This window comes from Homo sapiens, chromosome 10 (genome assembly GCF_000001405.40).
Source record: "Homo sapiens chromosome 10, GRCh38.p14 Primary Assembly".
Lineage (NCBI taxonomy): Eukaryota > Metazoa > Chordata > Mammalia > Primates > Hominidae > Homo > Homo sapiens.
This window is the reverse complement of record NC_000010.11, coordinates 3,511,671-3,532,497: the sequence shown is the minus strand read 5'-3', so window position 1 is coordinate 3,532,497 and position 20,827 is coordinate 3,511,671. Positions and strand designations below refer to the sequence as shown.

The 20,827-nt window shown below is 44.4% G+C and overlaps 2 long non-coding RNA genes across 2 annotated transcripts in view, besides 2 other annotated features; both read right to left on the bottom strand.

The window, feature by feature from the left end:
* Window positions 1-20,827, bottom strand: part of LOC105376360 (uncharacterized) — a 432,070-nt gene that overhangs the window by 218,267 nt on the left and 192,976 nt on the right. The window lies entirely within an intron of this gene.
* On the bottom strand, window positions 302-6,884 carry LOC124902539 (uncharacterized). Its single transcript, XR_007062363.1, has 2 exons — window positions 4,169-6,884; window positions 302-2,630 (listed from the first exon to the last, which is right to left on the bottom strand). It is a non-coding gene; the product is annotated as an uncharacterized LOC124902539 (long non-coding RNA).
* Window positions 1,134-2,333: an enhancer, noted in NCBI's record as "BRD4-independent group 4 enhancer chr10:3572357-3573556 (GRCh37/hg19 assembly coordinates)". NCBI's record gives its function as "activates an origin of replication core promoter dependent on BRD2, P300/CBP, MED14 and CDK7 cofactors, and independent of BRD4, by STARR-seq in HCT116 cells {active_cell/tissue: HCT116}" and the evidence as "EXISTENCE:reporter gene assay evidence [ECO:0000049][PMID:35650434]".
* Window positions 6,381-6,552: a silencer, noted in NCBI's record as "fragment chr10:3568138-3568309 (GRCh37/hg19 assembly coordinates)". NCBI's record gives its function as "represses an EF-1alpha promoter that drives an FKBP-Casp9 reporter gene in an ReSE screen in K562 erythroleukemia cells {active_cell/tissue: K562}" and the evidence as "EXISTENCE:reporter gene assay evidence [ECO:0000049][PMID:32094911]".

The window sequence follows — 20,827 nt, the reverse complement described above, 5'->3', positions numbered from 1 at the left end:
ATATAGTATTATAAATATAATTCAAAAGATGTGCATCCATTCATTCCAGCAGTAATTCCAAGGTTTGCTGAGATCTTCCTGAGATCAATTGTGCAGCCTTTCCAAAGAGGTGAATATTAAGTCTCCAGTCCATACAGCAACTGCAAGATTAGAACAGCCCACCAGTGTACATCAAAGATTTATCTACCTTAAGCTTCTACAAAAGAAAACCTGTTTTTTTCTTACAGCAGTACATGCTGCCCATGCATAAACAATCAAAGTTAAACCGAGAAAAGATGGATACACATGGAGCTGCTACCGATTGGGAAAGGATTTGGTTATTTTATTATTTCATAATGCTGAGCTGTGATGGACCTGACGACATCTGAGAAAAAAAAAATTGCCCAAATGAAAAAATAAATAGCCTTAGAAAAAATGCATAAGTTGCGTACATCCAAATCCACACACACGCACATGCATGTATGCACATATGCACTGACATCCATGCACACGCATGCATAACATGCATGCACAACATAAATGCACACATAGGTGCACATGCGAAGAGATGCCCACATACCATGCACACACATGCATGCACACACATGCACACACATCCCTGAATACACATGTACAGCATACATGCACAACTTGAGTGTATACACGTGCACATACATACAGATGTGCACACATGTGCATGGATACACATTCACACACATGTGCACACACTATTTCTGTCTCTGGAAGGCAGATTCCTCCTTGACTATAAAGATACAGTTAAGTGTTGGTGGCAGCACTCTGGGTGCAGCAATGTGTGGAAAGAAAGGAGAGACGGCAGTTATAATTTATACAGCAGGAGGGACAACTGCCTTCTCTTCTGTATGAGTTCAAGCAACAGGGAGAGGGCTGTAGTAAGATATTTTTTAAAAACGATAAGAGTGATGTTGCCTCAAACAAGACTCAATGCTGTGACTAGGCATGAGAAAAAATAGAAATCTGTAGCTGTTTTCTCCCACTTGACAATTTCAGATGACTGTGTTTGACTCGGGGCCTTGTACATGGACGAGTATAAACTTGTTATGTGCAGAAATTTCTTTCCAGTTGCATGAAGCCTTATATCCTGTGCATCTCAGGTGTCCAGTCATAACTCTCAAGACCGGAGTAGCCCACCTCCTCTTCTCGGGAATTAGCCACAGCGGTGAAGGGTCTAGAAACTTCTCTGTACAACTAACAAGAGAGGGCAGGAGGATGACCCGGATGAGAATGAACAGGCTTAGAGGGAACTTAGTCACCCTTTTCAAATATTTGAAGGGATGCCAGACAGGAGAGGAGGCAGACTGATGCTTTCAATCACCAAAGGAAAGCTCTAGGAGCCAGCGATGGAAACTCCATGGAAGCGGATCATCACTCAGCAGAAGGAAGAACGTTTTAACCGCTGAAGAGCGCCAACGTTTTGGCAGCAGGGAGCTTCATGTCCCTGTGTAATGCCTTTGTAGATCTCATCCCCAAGCAGTAAAATTTACTGGCAAGCTAATTGAATTAGGGTCATGTTAACACGACACGTAAATATTCGAAAAATGCATCAAATCTAGTTGAGAAAGTAAAAGAATTTGACTATTTTCACAGAGTCTGAGCATTAACTCAATCCAATGGACTATATCACTAATACCTAATAGCAGGTGACTAAAGCTGAATCCAATGGACTGTATCACTAACACCTAATAGCAGATAATAGCAGATGACTAAGGCTGAATCCAATGGACTATATCACTAATACATAATAGCAGATAATAGCAGATGACTAAGGCTGAATCCAATGGACTATATCACTAATACATAATAGCAGATAATAGCAGATGACTAAGGCTGAATCCAATGGACTATATCACTAATACCTAATAGCAGATGACTAAGGAAGTGTTGATGGATCTTTGAGTCACACCTTGAAAACTCGAGCTCGTTGTCCGATTCATGAGCCTGGCCTCTGCTCTCTCCGGCTGTGTCGTCCACACCCCGCATGCTTGCCGGCTGATGGCAAAGCTGTCGCTGTGCCATGAAGGGGCCAGTGCAGACTGCGGGGATGGAGCTCAGATCCACTGTCTTGCTTTTCTGCACGGCCGCGAGGCCAGTGTGAATCCTGGGGTACAGCAGCATCCCGGCCCACATGCCCATCTTGATGAGAATTCTCTGGATAAGGGCAGCAGTCAAACAAGTGTGTGGCAAGTCAGGTGTTTGAAGTGAGAGAAGCCTATTGCCATTATCTCTGAATGAAACCAGAGCCCTCATTCTCAAACAATCCTACTTGGAAAAATATGACCTTAAAACATCATCACAACTGAAAGCCAACGAACTCTTGAACGAGTGCTGACTTTCCCAAATGCCTGCTTCGTTGGCTTTCTTGAAGGAGAAGCTAAGAAGTGGAACCTTGGCTATACATGAATGATGCCAACGACGCTAAGGAAACCCTCACTCTCTAACACAGGCTCCACGCCTAATTTACGTGGCCCCGGGAATCCAGCTACATCGGATTCAAATACAAGATCCATAGTGATGGCGTCTGCTGGGCTCTCTGCGTTTTGAATTCACCAGCATTTGAACTCATTCTTCGGGCCTCTGCTGAGATTTTCTTGTCTGACCAAGGGGATGCCAGCCTAACCGGGGAGAACACGAAAGAGAGAGTCAGCAGGTGCTGTCCTGTGGGTCAGGGCTTTAGGTGAGAGGCTGAGAGAGCAAGGCCAGTCAGAGGAAGAGGAGGAGGGAGGAGGACTCCCCAGGCACTCTAAGCTCTGCCTCCTGCTCTCCTGGGGCCAGAGAATGAATACAGGTCTATATTAACTTCAGGAATAACTTGGACCTAGATCTGGGAAGAGCTCGTTTGTGATGATGGTGTTTTTAATCACTTTCACTGTAACAGTTGGTTATTTTTAAAATAGAGCTTCCTGCTGTTAATCTTGGAATCTGCAGGAGAAGCAAGTTAGAAAACCTCTAAGAGACCATACAATGTTTCAGAAGGAAAATGCAGCAAAGACCAGCCAGTCAAGCAAGGAATTCCCATAAGTTCTATCTTATCCTTTTCCTCTGGGCTCCGGGACCTTTCTGCTATTCTGTTCTTATTCCATTTGTTTTATTATTTTTTTTTATGAGGAAACTGATCTCACAGCCACGTGCATTGCAGTACAGAAGGGATATTTGTCTAAGAAAGAAATGAGACCTCCCTTGTCCAATGAGATCACTTAGTGATTTATGCTCATTGAACAATTCTCTGTGATTCCAGGACTCTTGTCAGCTCCAATGCTGTGGGTGGTTTGACCCTGAGTGGGTCCAAGAAGCCACTGACATCACCATGATCAATACCCCGTGGAAAGTTCCTCTCTGCCTTAGAAGAAGGAGACAGAGGCCCTGATGTGTGGAAGGAAGCTGGCCCACTCCCACTGGACGCTGCTACAGCCTCTGAGCTCACCTGGGAGTTACCCGGGAGGGAATGTCCCCAACAGTCTCATCAGCATGAGGATAGAATTTTATCACAATGATAAAGTGTGATATGATCATTTGTCCTAGGGCACTGCTTAGAAATTGTCACTATCGGCCGGGCGCAGTGGCTCATGCCTGTAATCCCAACACTTTGGGAGGCCGAGGTGGGCGGATCACGAGGTCAGGAGTTGGAGACCAGCCTGGCCAATATGGTGAAACCCTATCTCTACTAAAAATACAAAAATTAGCCGGGCGTGGTGGCAGGCACCTGTAATCCCAGCTACTTGGGAGCCTGAGGCAGGGGAATCACTTGAACCCAGGAGGCGGCGGTTGCAGTGAGCCGAGATAGCCCCACTGCACTCTAGCCTGGGCAACAGAGTGAGATTCCATCTCAAAAAAAAAAAAAAGTTCACGATCTAAGACTTCTGTCACTTGAGTTCTATAACCATTGTATAAATGATCAGTGATGCCAGTCACTGGCATTCACGGCTTGTGTTCTGCCTAAATGTTCTGCCTAAATCTGGCTCTCTTTCTGGAGAAATCTCCACCCCACCCATGTCATCATCCCAATCTTTCGCTTCAGCTGCCTATAAATAGAATATCCTAATCCCATATACCAGCCAGGTCACAAGATGTAGTGAAGAAATCATTTGTAGTCAGAAGAAAAGAAATGTTGTATGCAAAAATTAAGAATAAAAATAAATTAAGGAAAACATACATGTTTCTGCCTGTCCTGATGATACACTTGCAAATTCAGAAAGTCAGCACACCTAAGGAACAAGAAAGAAAAAGACCACAGAGTGATTCAGGGACACATATTTTCAAGTGGAGAAGCGAAAGAAAAACAGCTTTAAATGTGTGATTGCACTTGGACTCAAAAGAGCACAGAATATTGGAAAGAGTAGGATCTGACTTCTTTCTAAAGACGGGAACACGAAACCCCAGTAAAGCCAGATCCTTATCTCAACAATTCTAAAAGGGAAAACCATATGGGATCCCAGAGGAGTGGACACACCCCAGGGCTGCTCACACGCACAGATGCTGTCACACAGATTTTCCTAGAATCTGTTTGTTTTGTGGACCGTTTTTCCCTTTAGTTAACTTGGGGTGTATGGAATGGAGGATGAAGTTAGCATTAAAATCATGGTGAGAGAGGAATAAACCAACAGCCCTGGAAGAACCACTGAGTTTTTAAAGGAAAAGTCACTTTAGTTTATGTTGCATTCACTTGTAGCCCCCTTCTAGACACTATCTTATTGCAAAAATGGTGGGAGAAAGGGTAATACACTCATACACTCATTTTTTTTCTTTTTTTTTCATTTATAATTAATGCCCCCAGCTGCCTGTAAAATGGGTTTGAGGTCCCATTGGTCCTGGTTAGTCGACCAGCTGGGAACTAAATTATTAAATAATCATTTGAAAATTAAATAACTTTATTTCATTTCTCCTTGTACTAGGACTCATTAGTACTTTCCATGGCATTTCAAATTTTGATCTAAACAGCAGTAATAACTATCTTTAGATTCCCCAAATATTGTAACCCCAAAGTTATTTCATCCTGACATACTGGATACAGATGAGAGAAGTCTCACATCTAACATTTAACAGGCTACTGTCCTCCCAGGGAGGGGAGCGTCTGCACCACAGCCCTCACAGGCACCAAGAAACATTTAGCAGTGCAAGTAGGAAATCAGTAATAATGATAATAAATTTAGGTATGTGTTTGTGGGTTTGAGGACAGACTTATTTTGAGAAAACATATACTGTCATTGGTTGGATATGAAGAAATGGAAATAACAGGACTAAGAAGTGTTTTAAAAGGATAAGTATGAGGTTAGTGGTTTACCCTGATACTCAAAGTTTGCATCAGTTAAAAAAGCTGGAGTAGAGACAGAAAAAAAGGAAGATATTTGAAACTGGACAGAGCAAAGTTTGATCTCAAAAGCAAAAAGCCAGTTTTGAAAAAGATTTAGAAGTTGCTCTGGAGTAAAAAATCCTTCTTCTTTGACTTTGAAGCATTCATTTTTCTCCAGGGAAATTAGAAATTTCTTAGAAATGACCTCTGTTGGAGCAGCACCATGGAAAAATATCTTCACCACAAACAACTCCGTTTCTCAAGTATGCAGAGCCATTGATGCAAAATGCATTTGACTCATCGTTGGAAGAGACGTTATATTTAGTGGTGGAGCTGGTAGGATATTTTTAGAAATAGTAAAGTTCACAGAATTTTTAATGTGTTGAAGGTCTTTAGAAGATAAGGTTTTTAGGGGATGTGCAGAAGTGGCCATTCGCCATCAGGACTTGAAGGCCTCGTTCCTGCTCCATAGTCACTGGATGCCTTGATATCCAGACCCCGAGACACGCCTGCAGGTCATTTCACGCTGGATATGGGGTGAGGTTCAAGCCCATCCTTGGGGTAATCTGGGGCTGGATGTGTAACATCCCAGGCCGCTGCAGATTTCTTTCAAGAGCCTCCAGTAACACTTAGTTCTTTGGAGAAGAAACTATCCAAATTTCAGAGCCAGAAGGATATCAACAATCCATAGCCATGGGCACCCATCTCAACTGGAACTCGAGGACACTGAGGCACAGAGACCCAAGGGCCTCATGTCAGGCAGCCCAGAGCACTGATGGGCCCCCAGGCACATTCCTTGCAACAGGGCTGCTCTTGTTTCTCACTAGATGAAGTGAAGGAACCAGGGTGCTGCGGAGGGTGGGGGAAGCCCTCGCCACATACAAGAATCATGCATTCTTGGTTGAAGCTGGGCTGTGGCTCCCTGAGCCCTGTGCTATCCGGTCACCTTGCAGCTTTCCACTCATACTCGTACAATTTTCCATGGGACAGATTTAAAAAAGTATCACCCTTCTGAGGAAGATAAGTCAGATGACCCCCAGCTCTACCCTTCTGGGAACTCATCTGTCCACCCTGGCTCTCTGCTCCCACAGGTTTCCCTGGCTTTCCTCTCTCGCAGAGCTTCACTGGCTCTCCGTTGTTTATGACTCACCATCTCAGTTGCAGATGTACTCTTCCCGGACCGTAAGTCACTCCATGTGATGAGTCACCATCCATGTTCTCCTGAGGCCAGCCACTGCTGCTAGTGTGCATGCAGGACGAAACCGAGGCACAGCCATGCACAGAATCCACCTTTCTCTCCTTTAAAAAGGAAGCCCTTATTTCTTTTCTCTATTCCAATCGCTTTAGATGTGGAAGTGGTTTTTGGTTACGTGGATGAACCGTATAATGAAGTCTGGGATTTTAGTGCACCCATTACGCGAACAGTGTCAATTGTGCCCATTTTGTAGTTTTTTATCCCTCACCCCCAGCCACCTTCCCCACTTCTGAGTCTCCAGTGTCCATTATACCACTCAGAAGCCCTTGCATACCCATGGCTCAGCTTCTACTTAAAAGTGAGAACATACGATGTGTGGTTTTCCATTACTGAGTTACTTCACTTGGAATAACGGCTTCCAGTTCCACCCAAGTTGCTGCAAAACACATTATTTCTTTCTATGGCTGAGTGGTATTCCATCATGTACATATATCACATTTCCTTATCCACCCATTGGTTGATGGGCACTTAGGTTGGTTCCACGCCTTTGCAATGGTGAATTTTGCTGTGATAAACATACATGTGCAGTTCTCTTTTTGACATAAGGATTTCCTTTGGGTAGACACCCAGCAGTAGATTGCTGGATGAAATGGTAGATCTACTTTTAGCTCTTTAAGGAATCTCCATACTATTTTTCATGGGGGTTGTGCTAACTTACATTCCCACCAGAAGTGTATACGTGTTCCCTTTTCACCACATCTGCGCCAACATCTATTGTTTTTTGTCTTTTTAATTATGGCCATTCTCATTGGGGTAAGGTGGTATCTCATTTTGGTTTTAATTTGCATTTCCCTGATGATTAGTAATGTTGAGCATTTTTTTTCATATGTTTGTTAGCTGTTTGCATAACTGCTTTTGAGAAATGTCTATTCATGTCCTCTGCCCACTTTTTGACAAAATTATTTGTTTTCTTTTTGTTGATTTGTTTGAGTTACTTGTAGACGCTGGATACAAGTTTTTTGTTGAATGAATAGTTTGCAAATATTTTCTCCTATTCTGTGGGTTGTCTGTTTACTCTGCTGATTATTTATTTTGCTGTGCAGAAGCTTTTTAGTTTAATTGGTCCCATTTATTTATTTTGGGTTTTGTTGCATTTGCTTTTGTGGTCTTTGTCATAAATTCTTTGCCTAGGCCAATGTCTTGAATAGTTTTTCTTAGGTTTTCCTCTTAGGTTTTATGGTTTCAGATCTTTGATTTAAGCCTTTAATCCATCTTGAGTTGCTTTTTGTCTATTTTGAGAAATAGGGATCCAGTTTCTGTCTTCTCCATGTGGCCAGCCAGGGAAACACTCATTTCACTCTGATTCAACAGCAACTTATAAAGCCAGAAAGTAACAAGGAAGTTAAAGATTTCTCTTATCAACGTTTCACTCTCTGCAAATTGACCTTTACAGAGGTAGTTCTTTTAAGGTACATAAAAAAAGAGATCCTGTACAAATGAATGTGCCAACAAATTACATTGGAGATGTATTCTAAAGCCATCTCTAGGTCAAATGACTTGCCTTTGGTATTTTGAACTTTTTTTTTTAAGATGGCATTTTGCTCTGTCACCCAGGCTGGAGTGCAGTGGCACAATCTTGGCTCACTGACTGTAACCTCTGCCTCCCAAGTTCAAGCAATTCTCATACCTCAGCCTCCTGAGTAGCTGGGATTGTATGTGCGCGCCACCACGTCCAGCTAATTCTTTGCATTTTTACTAGAGATGGGGTTTCACCATGTTGGCCAGGTCTGTCTCGAATTCCTGACCTCACGTAATCCAGTAATCCACCCACCTAGGCCTCCCAAAGTGCTGAGATTACAGGCATGAGCCATCGCATCCAGCCTTTGGACTATTTTTTCCTTACTTGTTTCCCATTCCATTGTAATCATTTACCACACTTTATTTATTTATTTATTTTTACACAACTAAGATATGAGCATATCACTGTACTTTAGATCTAATTAGTTATCTGAGATGTAAATAAAGGCTTTGATTCTTTGGACTTGGTAAGGAATGTCTGAAGATTCATAGAACGTGCTTCATCATGAGAGCTACAAAACAGGGAATGCGAAACTGCCAACATACAGTGTGTTCACGGACGTGACCCATCCAGACCAGATTCCTATTTCCAAGTGGGATTCGGAGCTGCAGGTCACATCTGAGCTCTGATCAAATGCGGAATAAGAGCTGGCCACCCATCTGCAAGTTCCTGGGTTCTCCAACCATGTACTGAGCACAGTGTTAGAAATCCTGGCATAACTCAGGCTTTTGAAAGTTCAGATAGCTCTACATGTATTTCGATTTTGTTTCCGAAAATAGATTCAGGGAAAAAAAATCACTTCCGACCACCAGCACAACAAAATTGACCATGCTTGGTTTCCTGATCTACCTCAATAGTGAGACCAACATAGTTTTATGTGACTGGTGGTTTTGGTTTCTCATCCTATAGGGTAGAGCCACTTTATGGCACAGAGGACTCAGTCGTGTGAATAAGCATCAAATCTATGAGATTCACTTCTACACCGTGCCCATACCCCACCGAGATCACGCTACCTCACCCCAGCCCCCAGGTGGTCTCATCAGTAAGTCACAAAAAATTCCTGGGAAATTTGGGGATTGGCTAGTGTTACCTACAATCTTGAGAGGTCATTTAAATGGACGTATACCAAAGAGTTGGCCAGTGATCCTCACTGCATTCAACTTCAAGTTGTGATAAGCAGGAGAGAATGCAGGTGCCTTTAGAGTGGCAGGCTCAGGACCTGGGGCCCTCTTCTCATTTGTCACAAAGGCCCCTCCCTGGGTGATGGGATCCAATCTCATGGCTTAAAATCGTCTGTCAAACTTACATTTCTCTTTTAGACCTCTCTCCTACATTCCAGGTCACACATCAGACCACTGATTTCACAGTCCCAGGTGGTCCACTTGCATCTCAGAATCCCAAGCTAATGACCGTTCGCTGCCACACTGCACACCTTCCAGCCGTCCCCACTTGTACCAATGGCAAGTCCATCCTTGCAGATACTCAGGACAGAGATATGGAGTCGATGGTGACTCTGTCTCCGACACCTCCATCTGAGGCATGAGCAAATCCCACACATACCCAGATCCCAGCGCGCCTTCCCGTTGCCGCCAGAGTTACTGCAGTGGTCTTCTAGTTAGTTTTTCTGCTTCTACCCCGTAGCTGATCAGTCCATTCTCAATGCAGAAGTCAGAGCGCTTCCTTAAATTTAAAAACAAGTCAGCCAGCTGTGGTAGCTGGCAGGGTATGAGGAACAGGCAGCCATGGGCTGACTGTGTCTCTCCACCCCAGCGTTTGGCGTGTAGGTGGGCATGGAAGGACGGGACTCGGAGGGTGGCACTGAGTGATCGTCTGTCTCCCCCGGTGAATCTCCGTGCAGACGGTAGGATTCTTTAAAGGAGAGAGATGGGCGGATTATCAGCCATGTTTTCATAACCCACACAAAAATACTTCTACTATTTGATAGGGTTTGTCCCAATCTTCGTTGATTCCAAATATATCATACAAAAGAGGGAAAGTGCCTCTGAAGACTAAAGCTCCGCAGTCAATGGATGCATGCATGACAAATTGCTATTTGCAGGTAACAGGGCAGCGCCCTCTTTCTTTTCATTCATTTCCCTGCCACTCTGGAGTGGGATTTCCACAGCACAGTATTATCTCCATGATACAATATTTCACAGAAAAGACGCTTCAATGCTGATCAATCTCTACACTTGCCACTATGTAAGTACAATGTCCAGAAGTTTTATGCTTGAAGAAATGGGTCTTCTGCAATAAAGCACTATTCATAGGACACCTTATCATGTAGGCATCCGAAATGTCTAATACAAACACCAAAGAAAAATAAACAGCTCAGTCACCAGGAAAATCACACACAATAAAGTCCAATTTATTTAGAAGATTAATGGCATCAAGGGTAACATATTCTCTTTATTTATAAAATTTTATAGATAAATGGTACGCCCAGAATAGCTCCAGATGCCTAACAGAGTAAGAGAGTATCTGTTTTCTTCCAGAGACATATTTCATAAGAAAGTGAAGGAATAAATCATTTTTAAAACGGTAACATTGTTGGGTGAACCTAATTGAATTATTAAAAGGAAGCCCATTTTGAATTGCTTTAAATGCTTTTTTTACCCATCACTTCACCATCTTATACAGTCTAATATAGACTCCATTTTTAATTTTGTCTCCTGCTTGAAGTCAACTTTTCAAGCAGAAAGGAAACTTTGCAATCACTTGGCTCAACCCATTTTTCAGTTGACCCAGAGTTTACCTTGTTTTCTCAAGTTTATGGAGCCCATAAGTGCTGGATGGGTTTCACTTACTGTTACTCCTCTTCCTTAATGCCCTCGGTGTTCTGTGATTCTTATTAGTATCCAGCCCCTGTCCTTTGCTGTTTGTGTGGCCTTGGGTTTTCTAATGGGTTGGATGAGTCAGTTACAAAATCTCAGGCCTCCAACTCTAGAGTTGAACTTTGCAGAGTCTCTCAGACTCACAAAGACCCTTTAATAAACAAACTTTCCCTAGCTTAATGGAAGTATCTGATTCAACCAAAATATTAGAAATTAATCATGGCATGTATTTCTTCTTTTGTTCTACTTATCAATCAATTATTACTTCAGTAATATTTCTTGCATTGTTTTTAGTGAATTCAGCATTGATTATTTTTTATTTCTCATCCATCCAAAAGCACCTCTGGAGTGGTGTGATGTGCTGTCTACGTGGTCCTGCGTCCTTACTGGGTCAGCTCCTGGATATTTTAGAGAGCCCTCTGTCTGCTAACAGCACAACAGTTCATTTCTTTCATAGCATCAGAGTGCTGTATTGGTTCTTTGGCATTCAGTACAACAATTAATCATTTGCGAGGCTGACATTGATTGTGTGTCCTTACGTGCATTGTGTTTTCGTGTGCTGCCCTGTGTTTCAAAAGAGGCCGTGAGATGGGGAGGCATGGCCTTATTCACCACGGGGCACCTACCTCGATGCTAAGGATAATCAAGCATTAGTCTAGTGGATAGTAACATGGCAGACGCAGAAGACTGAAAGGAGGGTGAGTGGAAGATGTAGACTGCCCAAGGCGAGGCATTCCACGGAAGAGGCCTTGAGTTTGGCGTCACTGTGGTAATTTTTCTATGACTCGCATCTGGTTTTCAGCCATTTCACCTGGGAATTTCTCAAGAATGATGATTATAAAACACACTAGAGAGTTCTAGCTCTGAATATCTCTCATAAAGAAAAGCACCATTTGATGACTTAGATATCAGTAGCTGCAAGTTATGGCTACTTTTACTGAGAGTCAGGCGAAATGACAACATTCCACATACAGCTTTCTGCAAATAAGTCTTATGCTGGAAAACATGGAAGAGGAGCACTCTAGTAGGGCTAGATATCTAGCACCAAAGCTCAGGCTCTCTCGCCATTTTGCCACAGTGGATCTTCCACCAAAACTACCAATAGCAAACTCACACCATCCCAAAGAAGGTAGAATAATATTTGTGAGCATGTCACGTGGGTGAGGAAATTTCATATGCATTATCTAATTCACTTCTTTTAGGAAGGTAGCATCTTCTCCATTGTAGAAATGGGAGAACCTTCTCAAAATTACACAGTTAGCAAGTGAATTAATACAAATACATGAAGGCAGGCTCTCCTGAGTTCCAGATATAGTCGAAGTGAGCCATGAGAAGGTCACTAACAGAACTCGTGCAGTAATTATATCAACTTAAAATGCAAAAGAGACAGGCTGAGAGTCATCTATTAATGTCCTTAAAGAAAACTTGGGCTGGGCACGGTAGCTCATGCCTGTAATCCCAGCACTTTGGGAGACTGAGGGGGGTGGACCACCTGAGGTCTGGAGTTCGAGACTAGCCTAGCCAACATGGTGAAACGCTGTCTCTACTAAAAAATACAAAAATTGGCTGGGCGTGGTGGTGCGTGCCTGTAATCCCAACTACTTGGGAGGCTGAGGCAGAATAGCTTGAACCCTGGAGGTGGAGGCTGCAGTGACCTGAGACCACACCATTGCAGTCCAGCCTAGGCAACAAGAGTGAAACTCCATCTCAAAAAAAGAAAAAGAAAAAAGAAAACTCATGCTGCCCGGGAGACAAGAGCAGGTATCTCAAGAAGAAAAGCCTAGAACAGGCCCTGGAAGACGTGTTGCTGTTCTGCTCTGTAGATGCAATATTGCTGGGGATGTTCTGCTCTGCAGATACAATATTGCTGGGGATGATTTAAATTAAACCCCTTTACTCTGTGCCCAGCCTGGAATGTCACCCTCAGCCTTTCACTGGGCATGGCTGGGAAACATGGAAACTGCTATGGGGGCAGCCCCTGATATTTATGGACATGGATGGGACAAATCACACCGGAAAAACTTGACATCTTCTCGCAATAGAATTGTAAGATTGTTAGAAATGGGAAAGACAATACATGACATATATGTTTGTTTTAGTAATAAAAAAATACATTATTTTCACGACATTTTCCTTTATAAGGAAATTCCAAATGGTTTGAGAACGATCACCATCACTTGTGTTTAAAGTAGTTACATTGTGGTGAACAAAGAGAAATAATGAAAAAGCCAACGGAATGATGCCTCTCGGAAGTAGCGAAATATGGTAATGATGAAGGGTGAAACACGGTAACGATGAAGGGTGAAATACGGTAACGATGAAGGGTGAAACACGGTAACGATGAAGGGTGAAATACGGTAACGATGAAGGGGTTAAGCTCCAGGATGCAAGCATTTAATCGAAGACAGGAAGAGGAAAATGCACAAGATAATTTAGAACAATGATTTCAAACAGAATGAGAGCAGATAAACTCAAGAAAGGAAGCTTAAGAGACCGAATCAGAGATTATTCCCTAAATGAGCTCAAATCTAAAGGTTCCTGAAGACACCAGCCAGGTTAAAATCACGTGAGTAATGCAGGAATACAGGATATTTTTCATTTCTATTTTCTGTTTTCCTAACAGTGAGCCCTGCTGCCTCTTGCTAGGTCAATATCCAAGGCAAGCATCCAGTACAATAAGCCATCCTCCTGCGAGTCACGGGCTGGGCATTCACTTGCCTGGGACACCTTGAACATCTCCAACCCAGGCTCTCATCACCATCTCACCATGCCACTGTAAACACTGAGTTTAGTTTTTAATTTCTGCCACTAATATCATTTCTTCTTGTTTATTCAGTGCCAATTTTCTCTTTCTACTAGAAAAAATATGTTGGAAGGCTCCTATTCTCTCATGTAAAAAATAAAAATAATTATCCTTTACCTTCAGCAACTTTGTTGGGAATTAAAGCGGATGAAATGTCAACAAAGGTAACCTCATCTTTAAAAAAAGATGGGACAGGGATTTGTTTTTAAGGCAAAAGACATTCATTTATAAAAATGCCTACTTTTTTTGTATTTTGAATATGTTACTCAACGCCTCAGTCATGATCCTTTGAAATGTACCACAAAAGATTTAACACCAAGAGACTCCCCGGCTTTCTTCACAAATATATGAAATTAGAAGGTAGTCATACAAACTTAAATCAGAAAGACTTCTCATAGATTACAAGCCAAGTGATACAACTTTCTCTAATGGGTCAAATCTAGGAACTTGGCTATCTCTGATCTCATATCAAAGGAATTTCATGGAGACAACCACCGTGTTAGGAGGAGCCCTGGCTAAGTGGACACAGAGGCTCACAGGAGAGAGCAGTCTACGCCCCCTCCCATAGCAGTCCAGAGGCGGCCCAGGTTGTGGAGGGACTGCTCCTGGAGGTCACCCTGAGACCTCGGCCCCTACCCTATGGTTGCCCCACCTCCTGCAGGATGTCTTTTCTGCTTTGCAAAGTCAAATCTGCCCCCACCACCAAGCCCGTGACCCAGTCTGCAGCCAGAGGAAGGAAAACATAAAGGCATGTGGAGACTCCCTGAGCTCTGACCTTGCTCCTTCATCTAGAAAGCATTTGTATTCGTCCGTTTTCACTTTGCTGATAAAGACATACCCAAGACTGGGACAAAAAAAGAGGTTTAATTGGACTTACAGTTCCATGTGGCTGGGGAGGCCCCTGAACCACAGCAGGATCAAAAGGCACTTCTTACATGGTGGTGGCAAGAGAAAATGAGGAAGATGCAAAAGCAGAAACCCCTGACAAACCCATCAGATCTCATAAGACTTATTCACTATCATGAGAACAGAATGGGGGAAACCACCCCATGATTCAAATTCTCTCCCACCGGGTCCCTCCCACAACATGTGGGAATTATGGCAGTACAATTGGAGATGAGATTTGGGTGGGGACACGTCCAAACCATATCAGAAGCCACGAGCTCCTACCCAGATCTACCTGCCAGCATCCAGAAGTGTGGAGTGGAGGGGGTGGCGCTGAGAGGGCAAGGTCTGTTACTAAGAGAAAAACAGACGGACGCTCTGGGGTGACAATTACCCCTCCGGGTGCAAAAGCATAATAACTTAAGATCAAGATGATGTGGTCGGGACCACTCAGAAACGAGTGAAATGGCCACTTGAAATAAGCTTGTGTTTCATTTTCTAATAAGTACAGGAAGCTTACTAAAACTAGGAGGCGGCAGAAAAGTGGGCATTCATGCCCCGGATTTTTCTTTGTCAGTGTTGCCGAAATGCATCTGTTGCTCTCCAGCCGGAAGGCACCACTGGTCACTTCTCGATTCTGCTAAGCGAATGCTGGATGCAGCAGCCACGGACTGTCCCCTACCCTTCGGTTTCTCCCACATCGAATTTCTTACGCAGGGCAGGGCCAGCTCTCCTTCCCAGAGCCCTCCCCAAGCTGTGTGCAGCTTCAGGGCTTCAGAGTCCCCACCAAGTCCCAGAACCCCTGCGCTGCTGTGGGTCCTCCGTGTCCTGGCCCCCGCACCGGCCAATCACGGGATCTCCCCACGTGGCTGCTCACAGACTGCAGGCGACACGCGCCCCTGCACTCCTTTGAACGCATAGGTCCCTGCATCTTTTAATCCTTTGTTAAAAATGCTTTTCCTTTTTAATTCTTCTATACTTTTTGTTTGTGTTTGAAGTCCTTTTCCTGTTAATGACCTCACCATAGATGTTTCCCGTAATTGAAGACAGAACCACAAAGCCTCGCACACCGCCAGCCTGCATCTCATGCCCGTGAGTTTCTTATTAAAGTCTCACGTGATGTACAAACAGCTGTTTTCAGGGCACTTTTTACTTTAGCTCCTGACACAAAGCAAGTATAATGGCAAATCACTACTAAGCACCGCAGCAGGGAGAACTAACTGCTTTCAAAAATAATCACTCCTGATGGGGTTCCAAACAATATATATGTATATTTAGGGGAAAAAAATTCACCAGGAACATTCCTTTTTGACCAGTTGGTGAGACAGACCCAGCATAATGGCTTTCGCCCTGTGCATGGCTCCACATGACTTTGCCCTCAATCGGCTACTGCACCAGCTCAGGCAAGAAACAAATGCTCCTTTCAGAAGGCCGGGTCAGAGGGCAGAAGGTGCATTGGTAATTGGAAGCCTCTCCAGGCAGAGGCTTCACTGGGGAGCTGGCTGTGGGCTGGCTGGGGGCCGGCTGACGCTGCAGACAAGGACAGGTTTGTCCCACAAGCCTCCCTCTCCCCGTGCTCTGCTGGAGAACCCTGCACAGTCAGCTCTCAAGGCGCATCTTTGATCTCTCTCTCACACTTCAAAGGGCGTTTTGTTCCTTCCCTCCTAAAGTCTCAGTAATATTTTCCAGGAAAGACCCAGGATGGAGGCGCATTTCACTTCTGGGTGAATCAAATCAATCTACCACCTGGACAAGAGCCTTTCCTCCTGAAGCCCAACCTGCCTTTGTGGAGCAGAGGCTCTGGTTCCAGGCCCACAAAACTGTGGCCGCCTGTGAGTTGGGAGCAAGATATTCTTCTAGGTAGTAATGGGAGTAATCAAAGAGTATTGTTGTGTTACTGTATTAGACAAAAGTGACATCATGGTCTATAGCACGTCTAGAATGACGTTAAAAAATCAGCAAGGCACAGCCAGGCAGCTATGATTTTAAGAAAGGTAAAAACACACCAGGCCGGGCACGGTGGCTCACGCCTGTAATCCCAGCACTTTGGGAGGCCGAGGCAGGCGGATCATGAGGTCAGGAGATCGAGACCATCCTGGCTAACATGATGAAACCCCGTCTCTACTAAAAATACAAAAAATTAACCGGGCGTGGTGGCGGGCGCCTGTAGTCCCAGCTACTCAGGAGGCTGAGGCAGGAGAATCGCATGAACCCAGGAGGAGGAGCTTGCAGTGAGCCGAGATAGCACCACTGCACTCCAGCCTGAGCCAGACTCTGCCTCTAAAAAAAAAAAAAAACACCTTGAGTAAAGATGAAGAAAAAATTGAACCATGGGAGCCATGTTCATTGTGGGTGCCCGGAAACTGCCTTTCCTCTCCCTGGAAGAGCTTCAAGAAGGAGGTAAAACTCCAGTTTCATTCTGCGAGCATTCGTGGAGGTGCGTGGAAGGGGCTGAATTGAAGGGAGAAAGCCGTGAGGAGGACCAGGTCTCCACAGGAGCCTCCCGTTCCTCTATTAGATGCCAGCAGGGCAAGGGGTCTGTCACGCAGATCCCTTGGTTTCTAGCTGGTGTGTGTGTGGTGGTGGGGCGGGGGGCAGGGGGCAGGGATTAACTATTGAAAAGCATTACACGAAATGGCACCTTGCAGTGGTGTTGAAAATCACATTTGTGGATTTACGCTCCCTTTGTGGACAAGGATAGCAAAATTCCCAGAGGCCAAAATAGGAAACCTTTCATTTTCGCTTTTAAATTTACCTTTTTTTTTTTTTTTTTTTCTGGAGTAGCTCACGATATAGAACAATAGAAAACCATGCATTTGTTTCCTTGTTTTTTTGAAAGTTCACTGATAACAGAAACATTTAATCCATTAAAACTCCGGGTCTCGGCCCATTCCTGGCTAAGCAAAGCCACCTGTAAAGTTCATTAACTTTGCATAATTATCTTGCTGCTCCCTTGGCCTGCAGGGATGTTCTACTCTTCCTGGCCACACCCCTGGGCCAGGCTTTCTCATTCTGGAAGAGCCTCTGCAGCCCGCAGCTCCGGGAGGTCCCACCCCTTTCCCTTCCCTCTGGCTTCCCTGCTGGGAGCTCCCTTAAATTCAACGCCTTGCACCCAACACATCCTCTCATGTGTCCAAGTGTACGTGTGTCTCCACCGAGAGGCTGTGTCTTCTTCATCTTTCTGTTCTTCACACCTGGCATGGCAGTCCTGGAGACACACGCTATGAACCCAGTTAAATATCGGGGCACTGATGGGAAACTCTGTGTAAAGCCTGCTGTCTACTTGACTGGAGAGGACATGGACAAGGCATCTCGTGCTGGAACCTCATGCATACTCCAGAATCTGTGGCTCACAATCTGGGAAGCACAGATCAGGATGGGTCTAGGAAAGCATGGGAAGTAAGAAAAAGAGTATTGCTGCATTTTTGTATTAGACAAAGGTGATGTCATAGCCTACAGCACATCTAGAATAACATTAAAATAATCAGCAAGGCGCAGCCAGGCAGGTATGATTTTAAGAGAGGTAAAAACACCCATGAGGAAAGATTGAGAAAAAATTAAACCATAGGAGAGGCGGGTCCATCACGCATGCCAGGAAATTGCCTTTCCTCTCCCTGAAAGAGCCTCATAAAGGAGGTAAAAACAAAAAAATACAGAGCTTAAACAGAGGCTTCATGGAGGCTGAAGACGCCCCACCCCAGCCTGAAAACACCAGCACAGAATTTAGAGATTGTATTAGTCTGTACAAAACACCAGTTTTGATTTTGTCTCCTGCTTGGAGTTGACTTTTCAAGAAGAAAGGAAAGTTTGCAATCACTTGGCTCAAATCACTTTTCAGTTGGCCCAGAGTTTACCTTGTGTATTAGTCCATTTTCATACTGCTGTGAAGACATACCCGAGACTGGGTAATTTATAAAGAAAAAGAGGTTTAGTGGAGTCACAGTTTCATGTGGCTGGGGAGGCCTCACAATCGGTGGAAGGTAAAAGGCACATCTTACATGGCTGCAGACAAGAGAGAATGAGAGCCAAGGGAAAGAGGAAACCCCTTATAAAACCATCAGATCTCATGAGACTCATTCACTGTCTTGAGAACAGCATGGGAAAGACCTGCCCCCTGATTCAATTACCTCCCACTCGGTCCCTCCGACGACACATGGAGATTATAGGGAGCTACAATTCAAGATGAGATTTGGGTGGGGACACAGCCAACCCATATCAGAGGTTCCTCCATTATTTAGGTTAGGAAACTGGCTTTCTAAACCTGCACCTGGGATAGCTGCAGAACCCTGGAAGCTGCCATACAGCTCAGACTGGAAGCTCATGCACAGAGGGACTCATAGCTCACTCACAGCTGCTGAGGGCTTCCTGTAGGTTGGGAAGGTGCTTGATGTACTATTTTATGTAACTTTTCCAACAACCTTATGAGACAGGTGTTATTATTCTACCCATTTTATATATGTGGAAACTGCAACTCAGAGGGGCTGAGTGACTTAAGTTCTAACAGTGGGACCGGAACTCTAATGGGTGTTTATCCTTCTTAAAACTCCATCACCCTCTATAGGGGGAAGCACATGGTCCTGTGAGAGCTTCCAATGTCACACCCCGGTGCTCCTAAGAGCACTTTGTGGATCTCTCATCAATGCCTTCACACCAAGCAGCAACTTCAAAACATGCCTAAGTCACAGCAGAGAGGCTGCACCATTTTCCCTTTCATCACCTCTAGCAATTGGTAACCTCAGTGCAGGGGAAGACAGCTGGGAGAGAAGACAGGCCCCATCAGAGCCTGCCTCAGCCATGGTGTGGGAGGTGAGCCTGGAGCAGTCATTGAGTCCTGCTTCCCAAACATGAGAAGAATAGCTGAGAATTATCTGCACGGGCCATTTAAGAGCTAGCATCTTGGGACGGGGCATGGTAGTTCACACCTGTAATCCCAGCACTTTGGGAGGCTGAGGCAGGCGGATCACGAGGTCAGAAGATCGAGACCATCCTGGCTAACATGGTGAAACCCCGTCTCTACTAAAAAACAAACAAAAAAATACAAAAAATTAGCTGGGTGTGGTGGTGCGCACCTGTAGTCCCAGCTACTTGGGAGGCTGAGGCAGGAGAATAGCGTGAACCCGGGAGGCGGAGCTTGCAGTGAGCTGAGATAGCGCCACTGCACTCCAGCCTGGGCAACAGAGTGAGACTCCATCTCAAAAAAAAAAAAAAAAAGAGCTAGCATCTTACAATCTTTTTTTTTTTTTGTCTTTCTGAGCAATTAAGAAAAATGGTAGAATTGGCTCTATTTTTAATCTTAATTTTGAAAAAACAAAACAAAACAAAAAGAAACCACTAAACAGAGCCCAGAGCTGACTGTGCTGAGTGTTTACAGGAAGGTGTCTCCAGGCGTTGTGCTGCATGTGTCACGGACATATCCCATGTGTCCTGTGGGGGGCGCCTTCCTGTGAAGGTCCAAGGGCAGAAGAACATAGGGTCCCCCTGGGCTTATCCCCCTGGGCTTATCACTGACACCTGGGCTAGGAGGACGACCTTGAGGCACTTACAGTTTTGGCCATTTTCCAGAAACATGCCCAAAATCTCCACGGCAGATGCTTTTTCGATTCCTCTTCTCGACAGCTTTCACTAAAGCAACGATCCCCCATTTGTGATTTTTCCATAATTAAACGAAGACATATGGCCGTTCTACCTGCTGCACTTCTGTGTAGGTGCCTCGTGCACTGATAGCTGCGTTCGGATCTTCATCTCTCAGCCCCGCATGGTTTTTAAAATGTCGTAGCTATATTATTCATGTCTACATTATTTTTTTTACTTGCCTTTTCCAATGTAATCCTACAGATGTGTTCTGCCCTTTTGCAAACAAGAATATATTAGGCACATTCAGTTTTCTATTGATCCTGTGTCAGGCTAAGAAAATTAGAAAACGCCCTCTCATTCTAAGAATAATTTTGCATAAATAGGCAAGTATTTCAGGCAAGTCCATCTTTGGACCTGGTGCATGGTGTTTGTTCCAATGCAGAATCTTAGTTTCAATCCATTTTCTTCATTCAGTATGCAAGGAGATGACCCGGAAGTGATTGTGTTATTTCCCGTGGCTCCTTGCATGGATTCATTTGTCTTCAATTGCTCATATCAGTCCTCTATTGCATTCACCTCTTCACTGCCCAGTTCTCAAAGTCTGGCAGCCCTCAGACTTGGGCTGAGATGTGCAGGTACCTGGGACAGCTCA